Below are 21,692 nucleotides of genomic sequence, written 5' to 3'. Positions count from 1 at the left end.
ATATGTCACTGACACCACGTAAACTAGCAAGCTGATATGTGTACTTAGGTAATTGTATATACCTATGTAGGTACAGATGTATAAATCTGGGCATATGTATACATATTTATCAAATTATTCTTAATGTTTGATATTTTATTGATATAACATGTTATACTAAAATGAAATATCAGGCCGGGCACGGTGGCTCACGCCTGTAATCCCAGCACTTTGGGAGGCCGAGGCGGGTGGATCACAAGATCAGGAGTTCGAGACCATCCTAGCCAATATGGTGAAACCCTGTCTCTACTAAAAAAATACAAAAGAAAATTAGCCGGGCGTGGTGGCGCACGCCAGCTACTTGGAAGGCTGAGGCAAGAGAATCGCTTGAACCCAGGAGGCGGAGGTGGCAGTGAGCGGAGATGGTGCCACTCTATTCCAGCCTGGGCTACAGAGTGAGACTCAGTCTCCAAAAAATAGAAAAAAAGAAAAAAAATCAATATCTAAGGAAATGGTTTTTAAAATATATTTATTAATACAAATGGAATGTGACATATTTATATTCTTCCCTCCTCCTAGCAGCCTTCCTCTAAAAATGTTTCCCCAAGTTTTAAAATGTCAATTTGCAAAAAAGAGCTCATGATTGTTCTTCTTAATATTACAACTGTGCACAATGACCCATCTAATCACAAAACCAGGCTGATTATGGATCAATTCAGATTGTGTCCAGTTCACTAAATTTGAACTAGGAAAGTTTTTCAGTCAGAATTTGTGAGCTTGCAATTACTACCTAGTTTTAGGAAAGGCAATCCACCTTGGGTCCTTATTGTTAATTAAGTTTTATTGGAACACAGTGTCCCTTGTTCATTTATATATTGTGTATGGCTGCTTTTTTGCTGCAACAGCAAAGTTAAGTATTGCAAAGAAGCCTTACCATCTGATGCCTTATGAATAAAAGTTTGCTGACCTCTAGTTTAGGTTAATATATTCATATATACAAGAATTCATATAATGTCTAATTACTATATTAATATATTGAGTATTTGCCTATTTGTGTTTCTTATTTGTATCCCATGCATATCATTAGATGTTTTAATTATTTGCCTGATGTAACTTTAATTATCTGCATGCAACTCGTCAGATTTTATATTTATACCTTGTTTCAAAATAAATGTAAGCTATTTTAAATTTTAGTTCTTAACAACTCTAAAGTGCTATATAGTCCTAACAATATATAGAATATAAAGAATAAAATTATTCTTTGATATTAAATTCAATTAATAGACATAATGATTAGAAATAAAAAGGGGGTTTTAATTTAGTGACAGTTTAAATGAAATAACCATTCAAAGAAGATATACTAGAAACTATACCAAGTGTAAAGTATCTTAAGGGATGATTCAAAACTCTCCCAATTAGCTTTAGCAACATTCTCAGTGCAGTGAAGAATCAAGAGATCCATAAGCATTGAGAAGTTAGAAGAGAGGACTATGCATTATTAGTCACATATGAAATATGTTAATTATATGGATCTTGTGTTTCAGAGAAAAGAGGAGATACAGTCACATTCGCTACTGCATAAATAGCTACTGCTTTTCTCTAATTCTTGGGTAAAGTATCCTGTCAGAGGAAACAAACAATTCATAGCCTACTAACTTCACAGTCACGGATAAGTAAGTAAAGAGAATGGGGCAGACATTAGTCATAAACTGACCCTGAAGCAAATAAATTTGATGCTGACTAAATAACCATCAGGAAATTAGGTTTTCTTCTGTTACTTTAAGTAGAAGCAAATACTTCATGAAATATTTGATGAGTAAAAACATTGAAAAATCATGAAAAAAAGATGTGTAAAAAATAGATATATCCTAATTTCTTATATAATCCAGCTGTCAGAAAATAGATATACATCAATTCCAAATTGATGTATGAATTAGCTGTTAAGGAATTTAAGCATATTTTCGGCTTTATAAAAGTGATCATTATTCTCATCAATAAAATAAAATGTGTAGCCTACCATTACAATCATAGATACTGTGGAAAAAGCCTGACAAAATTTTTCTACTGAGCAAAAATATGTTAAGATTGTTTTTATTGTATTAGAAAAATGTCATAATATTGTGTTACAGTTGTAGAATTAGGATATCAACACCATTGAGAAGTTAGTGAAGGAAGAAAAGTAGTATTTATGGTATGGGATTACGAATGAATAATCATTCACATTTCACTTGAGAAAGCTAAGGCCAGCGTAGACATTCAGTAACTTGTCACCTAAAGACAAGTGCTTTTGTTTAATTCAAAGCCAAATATGTCTGATTCTCAGACTCTTTCTCCTTTTTCTTCAGAAAGGTTCCCCTTGGTCAGTTGACCTGACTGCCCCATGTAGAGTATGGAATTTCATGGATTTTTTTCCCAGATCACCTGCTTATGAACTATGTAGACAACTTGCCAGTGTTGAATGTAGCTGGAAATGTTATGAGTATCACATAACCCATGCTAACATTTCCTTTATTCTTAAGTAAAGTCAGAAATGTGTGAAAGAGTGGTAATAGAGAGTGTCATGAGTAAGTTACATTCATAGAGTTCTCAAAAGAGAAGATTACAATGCCAAAAATTCAGGAAAAGTAAAATCCTGTTGGAGTTGAATGACAGGACAAATGGCCTGATTTGTATCTTAGGCCAAATCAGGCCAGAAGTGTATTAAATGATACATATAAAATCAAATGTATACATTTGATGTATCTAACAGAATGATACATTTGATATATCAAAATGATACATTTATTAATGTTATAATTAAGCAATTAAGTCCTATGTTTGGATGTTTTTATTTGGAAAACCCTAAAATATACCTATTTCTAGTCCCTCTTCCTACTCTCCCTAGCATCCTGGCCACATAAATCAGAGCCTCGGAGAAAGGTCAGGGCCTGGGCATTGGCATTTATTTTCTTTTTTTCTTTTTTCTTTTTAAGACACAAAGTCTTATCCTGTTGCCCAGACTGGAGTGCAATGGCAAGAGTACAGCTCACTGCAGCCTTGACCTCCTGGGTTCAAGTGATCTTGGGTTCAAGCAATCTATCTTGGTACAGATAGAGTCTCAGCCTGTTTACAGGGGTCATTGATATGCCAAGTAACTGCTCAGATCTACAGGCCTATCCCTTACATTTTCTTTCCATTTCAAATTCTAGAATACACACACACACACACACACACACACACACACACACACAGGCACAGGGAAAATATTGGTAGAGCATATACCATTTTTCTGAATTGTTTGAGTAAAATCAATTAGCACTAAATCATGTTAAAATAATTGGAAGAGCTCTAAAATGAAAACATTTGCAAAAATTAGAATGATAAAGATGCACATGTTAGTAAAGGTAGTTGGTAATTTGTTAATTGTAAGCTGGATTAATTTTTATTGTCACTTTTACTCATAATATGAAGGATAGTTTTTTTTTCTTTTCAAATTATTTGCCTAAACTTGGAAAATAAAAATTCTGGGAATAGCCACTCAGAAGAAATTCTCAATATATTGCCATGTTTGGTAAGGGAAGATGTGTTTATTTTTCATAAGTGTTATATTTTAGCCCAAATAGTTTCTCCTCTCAAAAAATAACTTTATGTGCCAATAATTTTAATGAAGATGATCCCAATTAAATAATTAAGGGGCATAGATTTGTAAGTAGAATTTCATCTTCTAACCTTGCCAATAGTAAACATAATTTTAATTCAACTTGCACCACATTCAAAGTAAATCATGCCCCCAGGCATAAACGTTTTAAGAAAATGTGACTGTATAAAAATGGACACCAACTAGAAATTAGAAAAGATAGCAAACAATAGTCTTAACTTTGTTTATCCAAAGGCACAGAAGTCATAATAAATGAATGGATGCGTAAATACGCCCATTTTTATGAAGCATTAAAAAAAAACAAACAAAACCTTTTCTTTCTTAGTAGGGTGCTATAAGAACACGGTTTCCTGTTTCCTACATGTAGTGTAGGGACAAGCCAACATTTACTTCTCTCCAAACTGGTGAGCTAATTAACCTCAAACCTGAGTTGTGTAGCACTCAAGGATACGGGTCTACATATGGTGAGCAAATTATTTAATGAAACTTACTTGTCTGCAATTTCTCTACACTTTAGGAGGTATTTTATGTCACTTGCCTGGCCAGACACAGCATGAAATGAGTGACATAGTAAAATAAAAAAAAAAAATTGTTAGACATAGTTCAACAACTAAAGAAAAAAAATAAGAGAACTTAAACTAAAATATAAAATTGAACTTATAAACTTAATTTTTATGAAACAGGATACAAATTAAAGTCAGAATTCAGTAAGAAGATTATAAAATGCCCATATCAGGTTTTGAAGGGGTGTCACCCTTCTTGGCATCCCCCCACCCCACTCCCCACCTACCCATCCCTGGTCTGTTCCAGATAAATCATATTTTGCACAAGGTTAAACACAACAAAACGTATCTGCCTGCATCACTGCTTTGCAAAAATGAAACTCATGAATGTCCCTTTGAAATTTTTGAATATTGGTATATTTAAATAAGTATTTGGTAATTCTAACCTTAATGGAAATCTCTAGTGCCATTGCATTGTTGATATGCTGATATAAAACACATTCAGCAATTCCCTAAAGACTACAGAGACAAAATGACTAAGATGTTTTTAATCAAAAAAAAATTTATGCACATTTTCTGGATTCCGGCAGGGTGTATTATTTTCTTTCACTCTTTTTGTTATCATGTCTTCACATCTTATGAGATCTGAGTCCTCTGGTGTTATGTTACCACATCATTGTCTATCTCTTCTGCTTTACTTCCCCAAAAGGCCTTGAGCTCAGGTCTCCTAGGCAGATTTAATATCCTGGCACAAGCTTTCCTTGAATGATTATGGTAAACCTTGCTTGTGGCAATTTTTGTTTCTTCCAGCATTCACCCAACCCCCACCACCACTACCTTTCTGTACTTAATGATATTTTAAAAATTTATTTTGTTTTGTTTGCCCCCTGCTTTGCAATCCCCTCTTCTATTCTATACCCTCCAGCTTGCTGATTATCTTAATATACTTTATTTCTCTGCTGTCTATTCCTCTATGAATCAAGAGAAGTACAGTATGATTTTGAAACCTGACACTGTTAAGTCATTTAGGGATAAAATGCCAAAATAAAAAATTCCAGGTTCAACAACTTATTAAGTGTGATCTATGCAAACTATAAATAATTATTTCTCTACTGTGCATCATGTGTATGTTACATAATACATGTGTGTATATTCACAGCCTTGTATATACACACACCCAGCTGTACATGGAGACCCAATAAGGACCTTCACCTGTCTCAAGTGGCAGAAGTAGTTTAAAGCGCAATGTGACAGTCAGGGGTTGCTATGAAAAAGTAGCCTGTTTTCCTGGAGGGGTCTCAATATTGATTTTGAAATTGCTTCTAAATTAGCCTAGATAATAGTATCCTAACTGAGAGAAGTTATTCATAGTGGTGCATATAGTAAACACTGAGCTACTACTTACATTCTCTTAATTAAATTTTGGCCTTGAATAAAAATAAGAAATTCTAAGAACACAAAGATAGTATTCATTAAAAAACATGTAGAGAGTTAATAGGTATTTTTGAATTACATTTAATTTGTAGCTTAACTGAATTAAAAATCAAAATTATTCACTATGAAGTTTGATTATTATTTAGTAGGTATTTTATATAAATTATTTTAATTGTATATTATCTGCTATTCTTCCCTATTAAAGTATTTTGTTTGACAAAGCCATACAAATTTTTGATGAACAATTTATTCTTTTAGAATATGAACCTATAAGATCATAAAATTTTATTCTGGCAACAATAAACTAACACACATTACTAGGAACATTTGAGGACCTTATAAAACTTTTTAAATGCCAAAAGTTTGAAAAAAGTATTATATACTTCCAAAAAATATTTGTAAACATTTTACCTGAAACGTATTCCTAATATGATTATTTAAGTATTTACTGAGATGCTTATTGAGTCAAGTCAACCAAGAAAACAAAGAAATATGGTTTAGAAGCCTTATTAGTCCAGTCACATTAAAGGGAGTAACTAATTATTTGGTTATATTAACAGATTTTGAGACACAGAATTGCAGTTAAAAGATTGAAATATGTCAAACTTTTAGAAGTGTAAGGTAATGTTCTTAATTTTTGTATGTTCTAATTTTGTATATAAATCAGATAAAAACTGACAAATTCACCAGAGAACCAGACCTTAGATATTTTTAGTAATGTATATATCACACAGTGGTTGAGATCCTAGCTTGGGGAGACATATTGCTTATATTTAATTCCACATTGCCTTCTTTTTTTTTTTTTTTTTTTTTTTTTTTTTTTTTTTTTGAGGCAGAGCTTTACTCTTGTTGCCCAGGCTGGAGTGCAATGGCGCCATCTTGGCTCACCGTAACCTCCACATCATAGGTTCAAGCAATTCTCTTGCCTCAGACTCCCGAGTAGCTAGGATTACAGGCATGCACCACCACGACTGGCTAATTTTTGTGTTTTTAGTAGAGACAGGGTTTCTCCATGTTGGTCAGGCTGGTCTCAAACTCTCGAACTCAGGGGATCCTCCTGCCTCAGCCTCCCAAAGTGCTGGGATTACAGGCCTGAGCCACCGTGTCTGGCCTCCACCTTGCCTTCTCACAAGTCATTTGATTCTGAGTTTATTTTCCTCATGTGTAAAATAAAAATGATCATGATGGTCACTACGTAAATATTAGGTGAGGATTAAATGGGTTAATTCATATAAAGTTTTTGGAACAGTACTTAATCCATAGTAAGTATTCTTAAACTATGAGTTTTACAGTTGGTACAATTGCCTACTTCAGTTCTATTATAATACAGGGGAAGTTCTTAAGTCCAGAAAGTATCATATTTGCACAATACTGAAACATTCATTTTAAAAGAGATGTTATGTTTTATTATTTGAACTCTAGCACTCTTTCTTCTCTACTATAAAGGATCTAATATCCATCTTTCTGGGTGAGCGCCACACACACACACAAACACACACGTACACATAGACATCAAATAAAAATTGATGATATACAAATATGAACAAGAATATATATAAAATACAGGTGAATATATTCAAATACTGACAAACTATTAAAAGGGAGTGACATGAATATAAATATTGGGCTATGCACACATAAAATACATAATATTTAAATGGCTTATCCAAAGGAGTATAAGAGGAAACCAATTTCAGAGATGCTTGGCTTTATTTTTTTAATTATCTTTTTAATTTGGGGCAAAATAGTTAAACTGTCCATATTCAGGCCATACCTGACTAATGAAAGGATTGAAGTAGGTCTATGGTCTCCTTCAATTCTGTCAAAACTATCAGTTCCTGAAAGGTGGTAGGTAGATAGATAGGTAGATAGAGATAGGTAGATATGGGTAGATAGAAGATAGATACACACAGACACATACATAAAGTTCATATGTATATATTAACTTTCTGAAATTCATACAAATGAATATTTTATAAAATGCACATTATCATATTGAAGAGTTTAATATTTCTGTCTCTCAATAACTGCTGTAACAAGAAGACAAAATTAGTAAGAATATAGAATATCTAACAACTCTATAAACTAACTTTACCTAATTGATATTAATAGAAAGCTGCACTCAAACATATAGAACATGAAGTTAGAAAAGAAAGACTATGTTGGCTGGGCACAGAGGCTCGCAGCTGTAATCCCAGCATTTTGGGAGGCTGAGGTGGGCATATCACCTGAGCTCAGGAGATCAAGACAAGCCTGGGCAAGATGACGAAATCCCGTCTCTGCAAAAAATACTAAAATTAGCCTGGTGTGGTGGCGTGTGCCTGTGGTCCCAGCTACTTTGGCAGGCTGAGGTGGGAGAATCCCTTGAGCCTGGAAGGCAGAGGTTGAAGATTATGTGATGGACCATAAAAGAAGTCTTGATACAAAATACTGAAAAATAATAGAGAATAAGTTATAGGTTAAAATAGCTATTATACATCTCTGTAAAACTTTTACCAGATAATCATAGATTCATCATTTTTTGTAGTTAGCTATTAATTTGAGTGGGAAACTAAAACAATAAGTAAAAATATCATAAAATATTCATTGAAATATATAACTGCCCAAATTATTTCAGTGGACAAATAGTTTTATTTTTGCTTAGGTAATTTTGCATTTTATTTACTTGCTATAAACGTAACCATATTGAAGAGTTTTAAAGGATGATAAATGTATATTTATATCATTTTAAATTGAGGAAAGTGTTTAAAATGTTTTGTTATAGAAAAACCTATAATTTTATTAAATGTGGCAATAAGAAGCAAAGTTTGAAGATTTTTATTTTCAACTTATTGCTTACGATTCTACTCTATGATACCTCTTGAAAATTTTTTCTTATTATAATTTATGATGATAATACTTAAACTGTATAGTTACCACACTGGCAGGAGCTATGCTTCTAGTCCCGTAGTAACTAATTTTTGAAAGTGTCATCCTTCCGGACAATGTTAAGATATCATTCATTAAATATCCATAAATTCTTAAAATTTGAAAGGAGATGATTTTAAAATGTTGGAGTATTTTTTAAAAATATGTAAATAAAAATAATTATTTCAAGTATGTCCATTTGGTGATATTTTATAAATAATTAATTTATAAGAGGAAATGCAAGACAATCCATTTTTCCACTGAAGAACTTTTCAAACTTATATTAGCTTCATTGGATTCAAGTTTGTTTTTTCTTTTCTTCAACAATTTTATGGCAGATGACATTTAACTAGAAAAGTAATCTTATCTAAAACTCTGGCGAATGTGTAAAGTTAAATAGCAATCACATTGATTTAATCAATTATTGCTGTATATTTTTTGTGCTATTCTGCTGTTGTAAAAAACTGAGACCATGCTTTAAATGTATGTTTGCAGAGGGCATGTTAATGAGTTTATACATTTTTGTTGTGTTTTCCTTTGCTACACTATTTATATTCATTGCTTTCAGTAGAAATTGATTTTAAAAGATCAGCTTGAATCTTACCAAGGTGAGTCTAATGCTTCATTATTTCACTATATGAAAATTAGTTCCTTTAGGGAAAAGAAAGTTGTTTTCAATTACATCATGAGATTTTATCATAAGTGATTTCTTGCCACACAATTTTTTTCAAGAAGAATTTGTGAATCTGTGTGTGTGTGTGTGTGTGTGTGTGTGTGTGTGTGTGTGTGTGTATTTCGTTACAAACGACCAGGATAGTCTTTGTTTAAAAAAAAAACAATGCCCACCATTTAACAAGTTGGAAAAAACCCTGAAAGCTCAGATGGAAGCCCCAAAGTTTAGATCTGTGCCTTGACATTGTCTCGAGCTTTGAAATAGGTATGGTTACTAAGGCATCTAATTTGAAACAGATAAAATTGACATGCATTTGCATGTTATGCTAAAAGAAGAACAGAAAAAACATGCAAGTAATAGGTTTTTAAACCTTTCTTACAATTTTTAATTGAAATATGTAATTTTATATCCCATTCTAAATGGTTATTTAATGTTATCTATTTTAAAGTAATTAAATTAATATCTGTATATCTTCTAACTGGGAAGAATACAATGGATTACTTTGAATATAAATGCCATCTGTAAATTCAAAAGTTTGGTATATTTTTTTCTAAAAATCTCACTGTATAATACACATTTACATATATTTACACACACTGTATTTATATATTATATGTTTTATACATGTTTGACTAAATGTATAAATCACATGATATATTGCAATTGAATTTATGGAATATAAATTATATTAATTGGTTAGAAATGGAAAATGAACTACCTTAACTATAACATTCTCTTGGTAGCTTATTATGTGAGTGGAAAAGGAAATATTTCACGCTAGTCAGGCTGGCTTATGCCTGTAATCCCAGCACTTCGGGAGGCCAAGGTGGGAGGATTGCTTGAGGCCAGGAGTTCAAGACCAGCCTGGGTTTGATGTGAGACCCCGTCTCTACCAAAATTTTTAAAAATTAGGTGGGCAGGCGGTGCACACCTGTAGTCCTAGCTACTTGCGATGCTAAGGTGGGAGGATCTCTTGAGCCCAGGAGTTGGAGATTGCAGTGAGTTATGATTGCACCATTGCGTTGCAGCCTGGATGACACAGTGAGATCCTATCTTAAAAAAAAGAAAAAGAAAAATAAAGGGACTACTTCTTCTTCATTTTCATGAAATGAGCAATAATATGTAACTAACCTAAAATTACATTATATTAGACAATGAAACCACAAGAGTATCTACTGTCCTATAAAAGATGTAACTTCATTATAAATAATTGCATTCTCCTTTCTAAAAATGTTCTAAGGTGATAGACATATATCCTGTTATTTGCTCTAAGTCTTTCCTCTTGTCTTCATAATTTGACCTGGAATAAAAAAGCATATTTTCTTTGTTTACCAAAATGTCAGAAATTATGTTTGTATATCAAAAATTAGTAAATGAGCATATATATTATTTAAGGAGAGTTAAAAGTCTAAAATAGTGTTCAGATGTGGTTAAAAAAATTACAGAGATCAACTCATTTAGCAGTTTACTCATATCTCTATAGTGGCACATTCCATTTTTTATGGGCCATCTTTGTACTACACTGTGGATATAAATTCCTGCTTAGTAGACAGGCACTGAGCATGCTAATGGCTCCACTTTATCCATTATTTTAGTCACCACTATACCACTTTTAGGTTCTTGATCAATGTGCAATTATTTGGCCAAGTTTTATTTATTTATTTTTCATAAAAACACCCCAGAGAATAGTGAGCAAAGAGCCTTATTAACCTAGCTGCTATAGCAAGTTTACCATTTTCTTTTGTGTGATTTTTAGGAAAGGGGAAGTAAATAATCAGTGAAGAAAGGACATCTGAAGAATAGAGAATACTGTAAAAATGGCCAAAATATTCAGCTCACATTTTCTCTTTCTCAAAGCACTGGAGGTTATCAAATCCACTGTGTTTTATTAGTAAGTTGCAGTTTTACAAGGGACATGCTCCAGAAGGCATTAGCAGAGCTCATTTTCTTGAAATGATTTGTATAGCTCACCAGCGTAAAAAGAAAAGAAAGGAGTAAAAATAGAACAATATGCTATTGATAAACTCTGGCTAATGAGAAGTCCAAACAAAAAATTGAAAAGCAACATTTTTATACAAAATTTTAACTACGACAGTGGATGCCAGCATGAGACAGGGAAAATAAAAATCGAATTTAGCAGAACCAAACAGACTCTTCAAAGATTGTCTTAAATGGAATCCTTAATTTAGCAATTCTGGGCCATTAATTTCAGTAATAAGTCAGTTATTTTTTAAGATTTTAAGGTTCTGGTTCCCACAGAAGGATGCCATCTCAACCCTATCTTTCAATATCCAGGAGACTTTAAAAAATTAAGATACAATTTACATGTAGTAAAATTTGCTCTTTCAGCATAAAGTTCGGTGAGGAGTGATAAATGCATAGTCATATAATGACTAACATAACCAAGATAGAATTACATCACTCCAAAAAAATTTTCTTGTGCCCCTTTGTAGTCAAAGAAATAATAGATAATTCACAACAGCCTGGAAAAATTACCACAAGCATTGCACTCTAATTTGCCTCAGTTTCAAATTTGCTGTTTTGAAACTAATGAATAAATAATTAGTCTCCAACCTATTGCTCCTGACTTCTGTTGTTTCCTCATACTATTTATGCTAATTTCTAATTTTCTTTATATATTTATAAGTTTGAAAGAGTAAAATGCCCATTGCATAATTTATTTTATATTAATATTTAATTATTTGTTTAAATATTAATGAGAGAAATAACTTTAAACATTTCAAAGAAGTTATATTGATATAATGGGATATTACATACTGATATTATTGAAGTTATGTATACATACATCTAGCACAAAGTATGCTTTCACTGAACTGTCAGTAAAAAATCAAGTTAAAATTTATTAAAATCCAATGAATTAATAAATTTTGTAAGAAATATGGCGTTTAACATTTGGCTATTTATTTACTTCAGAGTTAGGAGTTTCCTGTCTCCCTCTTCCATGTATATCTGTGTCAGAATAGTGACACCACCTAAGCAACGTTGTTGTATAAATTAACAGAACAAATATTCATGCTCTCTAGTCATGAGTATAATTCCATTCAACTAGCCTGATCTGTCATGAATAGTTAAAGCTGTGCCTCACTTACATGTTATTGAAATATGTAAACATAAATATTGAAACATATTATGACATAAGTAAACAAAAACTAGTAAAAATTTGTTTAATCATTACCATTATAAATGCTTTGCAGGTATTATCTTTTTTAAGCATTACTTCAATTCTATGTAAAATGACCTATTATTTTTCCAATTTTACTAATGAGAACTCTGAGGCAGTGTTTAAATATCTTGTCCATGTCGCATAGTTAATAAACAGTAAAACTTGGTTTGAACTCAGACACTGTAACTCTAGTTCCCACTTTCTTCACTGCTATAATTGAGACAATTCTTTACAAATTTGAAAATGCTTTAAAATGTACTATGATAATGAAGTAAAAAAAGTTTTTACATTGCATATGCTATCTCTGTGTTTACCTACAATGCACTCAGCGTTTTTTAATGTAAGAACTTATATTGAAATTCTACCATTTCATATACATTGCTTTTAGCATTGACATTATTTACTAAAGCAAACACAACTATGTAAACTAAACTTATAAGACTAAAAGCACAAATGCTTAATCAGTTTGACTTATATATAATATTATTTATTGACAGGATTTAATTATATGTGGGTAGAATTTTGATTTAATTGTCAAATAAAAGCACTCTAAATTCCATGCATATTTTGCAACAGACATCACTCTTTAAATTGATGATCAATACTTCTAGCCAAAGAAAATGATTTGACTAATATTAGTATTTGTCAAATTCATATTTAACAAGTTACTTTTAATTTTTTATTCAAATAAAGCCATATGATATTAGAAAGTCTATGAGGAGTTTAAACAATAGCAATGAAAAACAGGTATAATAAAGAATTGCATCAAAACTTCGCTTCTAGGTTTGGAAAAGGCATCTTAAAATTAAGTTTAGTTAAGAAAATGTTACAAATCAATATTATTGAATAAAATGGCCAGGTGAGGTGGCTCATGCCTGTAATCCTAGTACTTTTGGAGGCCAAGGTGAGTGAACCACTTAAAGTCAGGAGTTGGAGACCAGCCTGGCCAACATTGTGAAACCCTGTCTCAACCAAAAAATACAAAAATTAGCTAGACGTGGTAGCATATGCCAGTAGCCCTAGCTACTTGGGATGCTGAGACAGCCAAGCCGCTCCCATTTTGTCTTTTGACATTATGTACTTTGAAAGCTTACTGGTTTTTTTTTTTTTTCTGGAATATAGATTTAAGCCCCAAAGCCTCATATTATTATTATTATTTATTATTTGTAATCTTATGCAAGAAGGGTACTAAACTCTAGAATATACATACATCTGTGTTACAGAAAAAAAAAATGCAATTATCTCCCATCTTTTTCTCTTGGATAAACAAGTAATATGTTAATGACACAAGTAATTTTGTTATCTTAAAAATAATATGACTGAAAGTCTGGGCTTGCACCATGCCATAGAAAGGGCATTGTGTCACCTCTCATTGCTCTGTACTTCTATTCTCAAAAGGAGAATCTTTTGAACCCGGAGGTGGAGGTTGCAGTGAGCTGAGATGGAGCCATTGCACTCCAGCCTGGGGAAGAGAGCGAGACCCTGTCTCAAAAAATAAATAAATAAACATAAAAATAAAATAAAATAATGAAAGGTAGCATTAATTTTAACACTGGACCAAGAGTATAACAAAGTTTGCTGTTATTGTCCAACATCATGAATAAAAATTATAGCTTTCATTTGTGAACAAACCATTATACCATTATTATCAGCAGTGTATAATTGTGTATAATTCTAAATATACTCATACACTTTATAAGACTGAAAAGGACAAAGCCTTTGATGTTGCAATTATAAAAAAAGATTGTCACTGATAACAATTTTTTATTTAATTTTAAATAATTTTATTTATTTATAGAACCAGGGTATATAAAGATAATACATTTATATTGAATCATTTGACAAAATCATCACCTGGTACAATTAAATTTTAATTTCATATACTACAAAAATATCTTGCCTTCCTATTCCTCATATGTTTCCAACTGTTTCCATGAAAACATGTCTGAATAAAGGTGTCAGCATGGCCATGCTCCCTTTGAGGGCTTTAGATAACCCTTCCAAGCCTCTTTCTAGCTTCTGGCCACTGCCAGCAGTCCCTGGCATTCCTTAGTTTGTAGCAGCATCATCACTCTAATTTCTGCTTGTCTTCATGGTCTTCTTCCCTGTTTGACTCCTCTGAGTCTGTGTCCAAATTTCCCTATTCTAATAAGTCATTAATTATGGCCTACTTGATTCCAGTATGATCTCATCTTCATTTTGTTATTTCTGCAAAACCCAGTCGCCAAGTAACCCTATTTCCTCACATTCTGAGGTTTTGGGTGGACACAAACATGGGGCAGGGGAAGGGATTATTCAATCCAGTGCAGTGTTTACTTAATTTATGTTAGTTGAGCTTTGATGAGCCTTTCAATCTGTATAATTAGGTTCTTTATTTTCTACCTGGTCAATAATTATATTCAATTAGTTATTTTTTACTATTTCCATTCCAATTCTCATGAACGCTTCTTATGATGAATATTTTCTCTCTCTTCCATAGCTATCATCATCTTTCACATATTTGAGATGATTTTTTCACAGTATCAATGCAATTCTGAATTTATTCTTCTCAGATAGACTTTCCAAGTCTGCTTTTACATTACTACCTGGCTTGCAGATCCCGCTTATACATTCCTAGTCTATTCTCAGTATATTCTATGTATTTTGTGATATTCCTATCACTTTCTAGTCCTGAGTTACAAACTTATTTCTCTATCTTTTGGAAAATGTAACACTTGGGTTTTTGTTGTTGTTGTCATTGTTGTTGTTTTTGTTTTGTTTTGTTTGCCAACACAGATGGTAGAAATGTCAGTGGGCCGGTTCAGGTTCTTGACTTAGAGAGCAAGTCTAAAGTAAAAGTAGGCAAAGAAGTTTATTGCACCGTGAAGGACATTCTGATAGCTGGGTCAGAATGGGCTGCTCCAGAATGAGACAATCCCATCTCACGCTGGGAAAATTCCCTTTATGGGAAGCTTATATGATTATAAAAGGGCCAGGATGAGTCTTTCCATTACGCATGCTTCAGGTGGTCTCCTGAGTGTTCATGCGCAATTGTACATTCTAGAACATACATCACATGTCTTATTAGCATCTTAATTCTCCAACCAGAGGTGTGTTTCTTACTAGTATGATGAACTTAGGTCAACCCAAGGACACTAATCATGGGTTTCTGTGCTTGTGTGAATTTGGGGATTTTCCCTTCGGCTCTTCATCTTCCTTGCTGCAGGATGTTCCAACCAGGGGTCCCAGATAGGGGATTTGCACTGTTGGGAAGTTTGTTCTATCTATTTGGCAAGTTTCTTCCCTCTTAAGGGAGGCTGTGACCAACCTATCTAACCTACCTCAGAAAAACTATGGTAGATTTCAGCTGATTGCTGGTTGAAACTCATTGCTGATGTCCACAATATCCTTCCTAACTAAACACATCCTAGCAAGTCTTCCAAAATTTGATCCTGCAGGACTAAGCTAGTACCCTTTCCCACTGAAAGCTGAGATTTTTGATAGGGAGAAATACCTATTAGGAGTTCTCTGACTTCCAAATTGACTTCCAGACCTTTACTTCTGTGAACCATTTATGGATAAGGAATTATGTAAGTTTAATAACCCCATCTTTAAAAATATGTCATTTTTAATTTCATTTTACTAAGATTTTTATTTCTTCAGGTTCTTTCCTTTCTGAAATAATTTTAGGATATGAAAATCTGTAAATGAAAAACTACAAAGTTTTTAAAAGAGCAGTTTTGGAAAAACAGGTATTCTAGAATGATGAAAATATTTTATACAGATTCCAGAAAGAAATATTAAATTACATAGAAAAACTGTATTAGATATGTGACAAAGGTCAGAATATTCAATTATCCTCCTCTGTATCTGCTGTGGTTTGAATATTTGTGTCCCCTGCAAAATCCACCTTGAAATTTAATATCCAGTGAACAGTATTAAAAGGTATCTTTAGAAGGTGATAAGGCCATGAGGTCTCTGCCCTCGTGAATGGATGAATGCCTCTTGAAAGGGCTTGAGGGAGTAAGTTTGCCCCATTTGTCCCTTTTGCCATGTGAGAACACTGCATTTTTTTCCCTCTGGAGTACACAGTCTCAAGGCACCATCTTGAAACAGAGAGAGCAGCCGGCACCAAGCACTGAACCCTCTGCCACTTTAATCTTGGACTTCCCAGGCTCCAGAACAGAAAGAAATACATTTTTATTATTTAGAAATTACCCAGTTTTGTGGATTGTGAGGCCAGAAGTTCAATAACAGCCTGGCCAAGATGGTGAAACCTTGTCTCTACTAAAAATACAAAAATTAGCCAGGCGTGGTGGCAGGCGCCTGTAATCCCAGCTACTCGGGAGGCTGAGGCAGAGAATTGCTTGAATCCAGAAGGAAGAGGTTGCAGTGAGCCAAGATCTGCACTCCAGCCTGGGCAACAGAGCAAGACACCGCCTCAAAAACAAAAAAAATTACCCAGTCCTACATATTTTGTTATAGCAGCACAAATGAATTAACACACTATCTCGACCACTGAGTTTTATGAAGTTATGTGAACATGCTTCTATTTTATTTTTAGACATTTTGTACTTTGGAAGTTTACTGGGTTTGTTTGTTTGTTTGTTTGTTTCTGGAATATAGATTTAAGCCCTGAAAGCCTTATGTTATTATTATTTATTATTTATAATCTTATACAAGAGGGGTACTAAACTTTAGAATATAAAATACATACATCTGTGTTACAGAAAAAAAATAAAACAACACAATTATCTCCCATTTTTTTTCTCTTGGACAAATAAGTAATATATTAATGACCCAAATAATTTTGTTATCCTAAAAATAATATGAGTGAACGTTTGGATTTGCACCATGCCATAGAAAGGGCATTGTGTTACCTCTCATTGCTCTCTACTTCCTGCCAGTTTTTGGTTGTTTGTTTTTGCTTTTTTTTGTGTGTGTGTGGGAACTGCAGACATACAATTTGAGATATTGATGAGGAGGCATGTGTTTAGGAAACAGCACTTTGCCTGTCTTACCTTCTGAAATGTTGTTTTATTATCAAGCTGAGCAGTAGATTTTAAGGGCTTTTACATCATCTTTCAACATCTCAACTTTATTTTCCTGTTTCCATTTGCATAGCCGTAGATAGTCACAATTTATTTTTTGTTACAGTTTTATGGTCCTTGTACTTATAATGAATTTCTATTTTCCATAAGATCCTGCTTGTTGGGTAACTACAGAATATGCATAATAGATAGAAGAATAAAGTTTTATTAATCAAAATGCTCAGATCCATTGAAGGGAAATTTCAACCTCTCATATTTATTTATTTGAAAACTGCTCTCTTTCTAAAGGGTTTGAGGCTGACAGTTTAAAGTCCTGATTTTATTTTAAAAAGAGTCACTTAATTAAACTTTATCAGAAGCTAAGCTAATACATTTTTAAATGTTGAGCATAATTGTTTTCCCATAATTCTAAAAATATAAAAACAATTTTTTAAAATTAAGAGCTTTTTCTACTTTAAAAGCTAATTAGATTATATATTTGGCTTAATATCTTATTATTGAAAAATTTAATTATAAAAACCTGTTAATTGCTTTATAGTTGTATGAAATATAAAAATATGCTAATTTACATTGGCTGTATTTGCTCTCAATAATAAGGACTTAGGGAAGGCTAAAATTATATTTAAGTATTTTAGCCAGGCATGGTGGCTCATGCCGGTAATCCAGAACTTTTGGAGGTCAAGGCAGACACATCATTTGAGGTCAGAAGTTGGAGACCAGCCTGGGCAGCATAACAAGACTTTGTCTATACAAAAAATAAAATAAAATTTTCACTGGGTGTGATAGCATGCACTTGTAACCTCAGGTACTTGGGAAGCTGAGGAGAGGGAATCACTTGAGCACAGGAGTCCGAGGCTGCAGTAAGCAATGATCACACCACTGCACTCCAGCCTGGGCAATAGAGCAAGATCCCATCTCTAAAAAATAAAAATAAAATAAAATTTCCAAAGATATAAAGCATCTTTGAATAACATTGCCTTTTCATTGTACAGTCTTATAGATGTCTTAAAATTTTAAATATAATTAAAGGGATTAATATCTCTATTGTATCTTCCTGATCATTCTCTCTCCGCAACAAAAATGGACCTACAGAGACACACAGATACATACATATACACACATACACTCACACACACACACAAGAAAAAACAGATGCTATTTCATTGATGCATATATTGGTAGACTGTCACATATGGTGTGGTGTGTTAATTAGTTCATTAATTTGGAAAACTGCCACAATACTATGTATCCATGTTTACAATTTTACAAATATCTTTTATAAACTAGATTAAAAAACAGCAATCCATTGGAATACAGACCATTGGAAGGCTAGATTTATGCACATAAAAGAAAATGTAAATGAAACACTATATTCAAGATTACTGTTAATCCTTTACCAAATATTTTCCCATTTTTAAAACATGCAAATAGGAAAATTTAACTAAAAGAAGACAAATTGTCATAAAGTAAAATAAAATGAGCATGTGGCTCGAGGTAAATTGTGCCAATGGGACTAATTTGACAAGTTTATTTTTATCAATTTCTGCTTCAATTACTCAAGCCACATTTCTAATATGAGTCAAATAATGTGCCAGTAATTTATGATACTTATATCAAATAACACATGAATAAGATATTTAATGATCGATAAAACATAATATATTTCTACTGAGGTGGATCAAAAACTTTCTTATTTTTTCTTTTCATATATATAGAAATTATTTACAAAGAAGTTAATGTAATAGAAATTGTGCATAAAGTCATTAGTTACCCTATAAATATGCTATTTAGCTCATTATTGTCCACTTAGCTAATGCTACAATGCAAAGGTATTTTTTCACCCAGGACGGTTACATGTCAGAAACAAACACCACTCTATCTAGTTCAGGGAGAAAAAATGTTTTTGTTTGTTTGGTTTTGGTATTTTGTTTTGATTTTTAACATGCAACTCAGAGATTCTCCATAAGTCCTTAAAAACATTGCCCAAACTTGCCTTAAGGCTGCCTATAACCTGCAATCACTAGCTCAGCACAAAACTTGAGTTACTAAAGCCCCTATCACTTAGCCAAATAATGAATTCCATGTGGTCCAAGCTTGTTTACATTACTCTGTTCTGAATCAAAACTCCATTCTGTTGTATCTGATTGGGTGGCCTAAATTGTCTGTGTCCTACCTTCAAAGGATTCTGTAAAAGAATAACACTGGCCTATAATGAGGGTAGGGCCATCCTTCATATTAAAGGGTGTTCAAGAGATGTCAGGAGCCTTTATGCATAGCAAATGTCTACTAGAGCCCTACTCTTTGCTGTCCAACATGCTTGTACACCTATCTACCATACTTCAACTTCCAAACAATTATAATACCCAGAGCTACCACAGAAATATGTTTCTCCCTTACGTATTTTAAGCATCATTTTAAAACTGAAAATAAAATATGTGCTGACTTTTTAGGCCACTATATTAAACATGACTTAAACAGAGGCTTCTCAGTTAATTCTATGTGGTATCATTTATGTGCATTCTATATGGTAAAGGAAACAAAATATGAAGGGTAGCGTTAGTGAAATGGTCTTGATAACTCACATCTTATAAACGTCTTAATGATTTGTTTGTCAGGATTTCTAAGCAATATCCATTTTCCACTTGTCTCATCCTAATTCTATCTTTATACAATTCCACATACAAATTTTAAAGTTTAACACGACTTAAATAAGTATATAATATAGCTACAGAAGTCAACTGAGGAAAAGGGAAATTATTTCAGATAAATACATAAATATGTTACTGTGAAGAAACTATATGAGTAGTTAATTTAATACTTAGCTTTACATTTGGTCACAAAGCTATACAATTGGTATTTAATGCCTTCTTTCTCCACTATCCTGCCATATGTTCTTTTTCCATATCCACCACCTCAGTTGATCTAAGTGTGTTATTGAATGAGGTGATTGAAACCTTCATTCCTGAAAAAGGTGATTTTATCCTGGTCCTGTCCTGTTGACAGGAATTTATGAAGTCTTTCATATACTTGTATTATTCAGTTCCAACTAGACTGTCTTTCTTCATTACATAGCAGCAAACACATTTACTATTATACTATTATAATCTGTATAATTAACTAGTTCAACACTGAAAACCCTCATTTTACCAGTTCAAACAGTGGCATCAAGAACCCCATATTAGAAAATGATACTTTAGCTTTTATTTCAATGAAGTCATTGTTGTATTCCTTAATGAACACTTTCAGTGTATTACCACCTTAGATTGCTATGAAATGTAAATAAGAGGTAGGCAAGCTATTTCTGTAAAGGGCCAGATAGTAAATATTGTATGTTTTCCAAGCCATATGTTCCCTTTTACAGCTACTCAGTTCTACTGTTATTTCATGAAATCAGCCATAGACAACACATAAATAAATAGATTTGGCTGTATTCCAATAAAATTTTAAAAAATAAAAACAAAAACAGGTGGTAGACCATGTTTGGCCCAGAGGCCATACATAACAGACCCCCTTCTCCATACCATCAAAACCAGAAGTCATGGAAACAATAAGCAAATAAATCTGCAAATGAAATATTAAACCATTAAACTTCTAGTGAAAAATGCCAATAACAATTCCATATTCTTCCATCCTAAACCTGTATATTCCGGCTATGAGGGAAACATCACAGGGCACTGGCATATTATTCCATTCTCACATTGCTATAAAGAATTGTCTGAGACTGGATAAGTTATAAAGGAAAGAACTTTAATTGACTCACAGTTCAGCATGACTAGGGAAGCCTCAGGAAACTTACAATCGTGGTAGAAGGGAAGGCAAACACGTCCTCCTTCACATGATAGCAGGAAGGAGAAGAATGAGAGCCGAGTGAAGGGGGAAGACCCTTATAAAATCATCAGATCTTGTGAGAACTCACTCACTATCATAAGAGCATGTGGATATTGTGGGAACAAGTTAAGATGAGATTTGGGTGGGGACACAGCCCAACCATACCAATTGGTTTCTGGTTCAAAGCACATTGCATATCTGGTAAGATGGCAACCCACAGTTGCAAATTGCCATCTTGTACTGAATCTTAGCAAAGGTTGTAAAAACGTCTATTCTTCTTGTGAATGAGTTATACAGTAATCAAAGATTTTACTAGGTTCAGTCAATGGCGTTACTCTTCTTGTACATGATAAGAATCAATGTTCTATAGGATTCATGGTGATTAAGATCATCAGCAATTCTACAGATAGTTTTACTGGAAGAGATTTGAGGACATCAAGTAAACCCCAAAATATTGTTTTAATGATATAAACTTACTGGCCTTAAATGATTGAAAGCATATAATATTGTTTGCAAC

The sequence above is a fragment of the Homo sapiens genome, chromosome 3 (assembly GCF_000001405.40).
Source record: "Homo sapiens chromosome 3, GRCh38.p14 Primary Assembly".
Classification (NCBI taxonomy): Eukaryota; Metazoa; Chordata; class Mammalia; order Primates; family Hominidae; genus Homo; species Homo sapiens.
The sequence above is the reverse complement of the archived record's forward strand: the minus strand, read 5'-3'. Positions refer to the sequence as shown.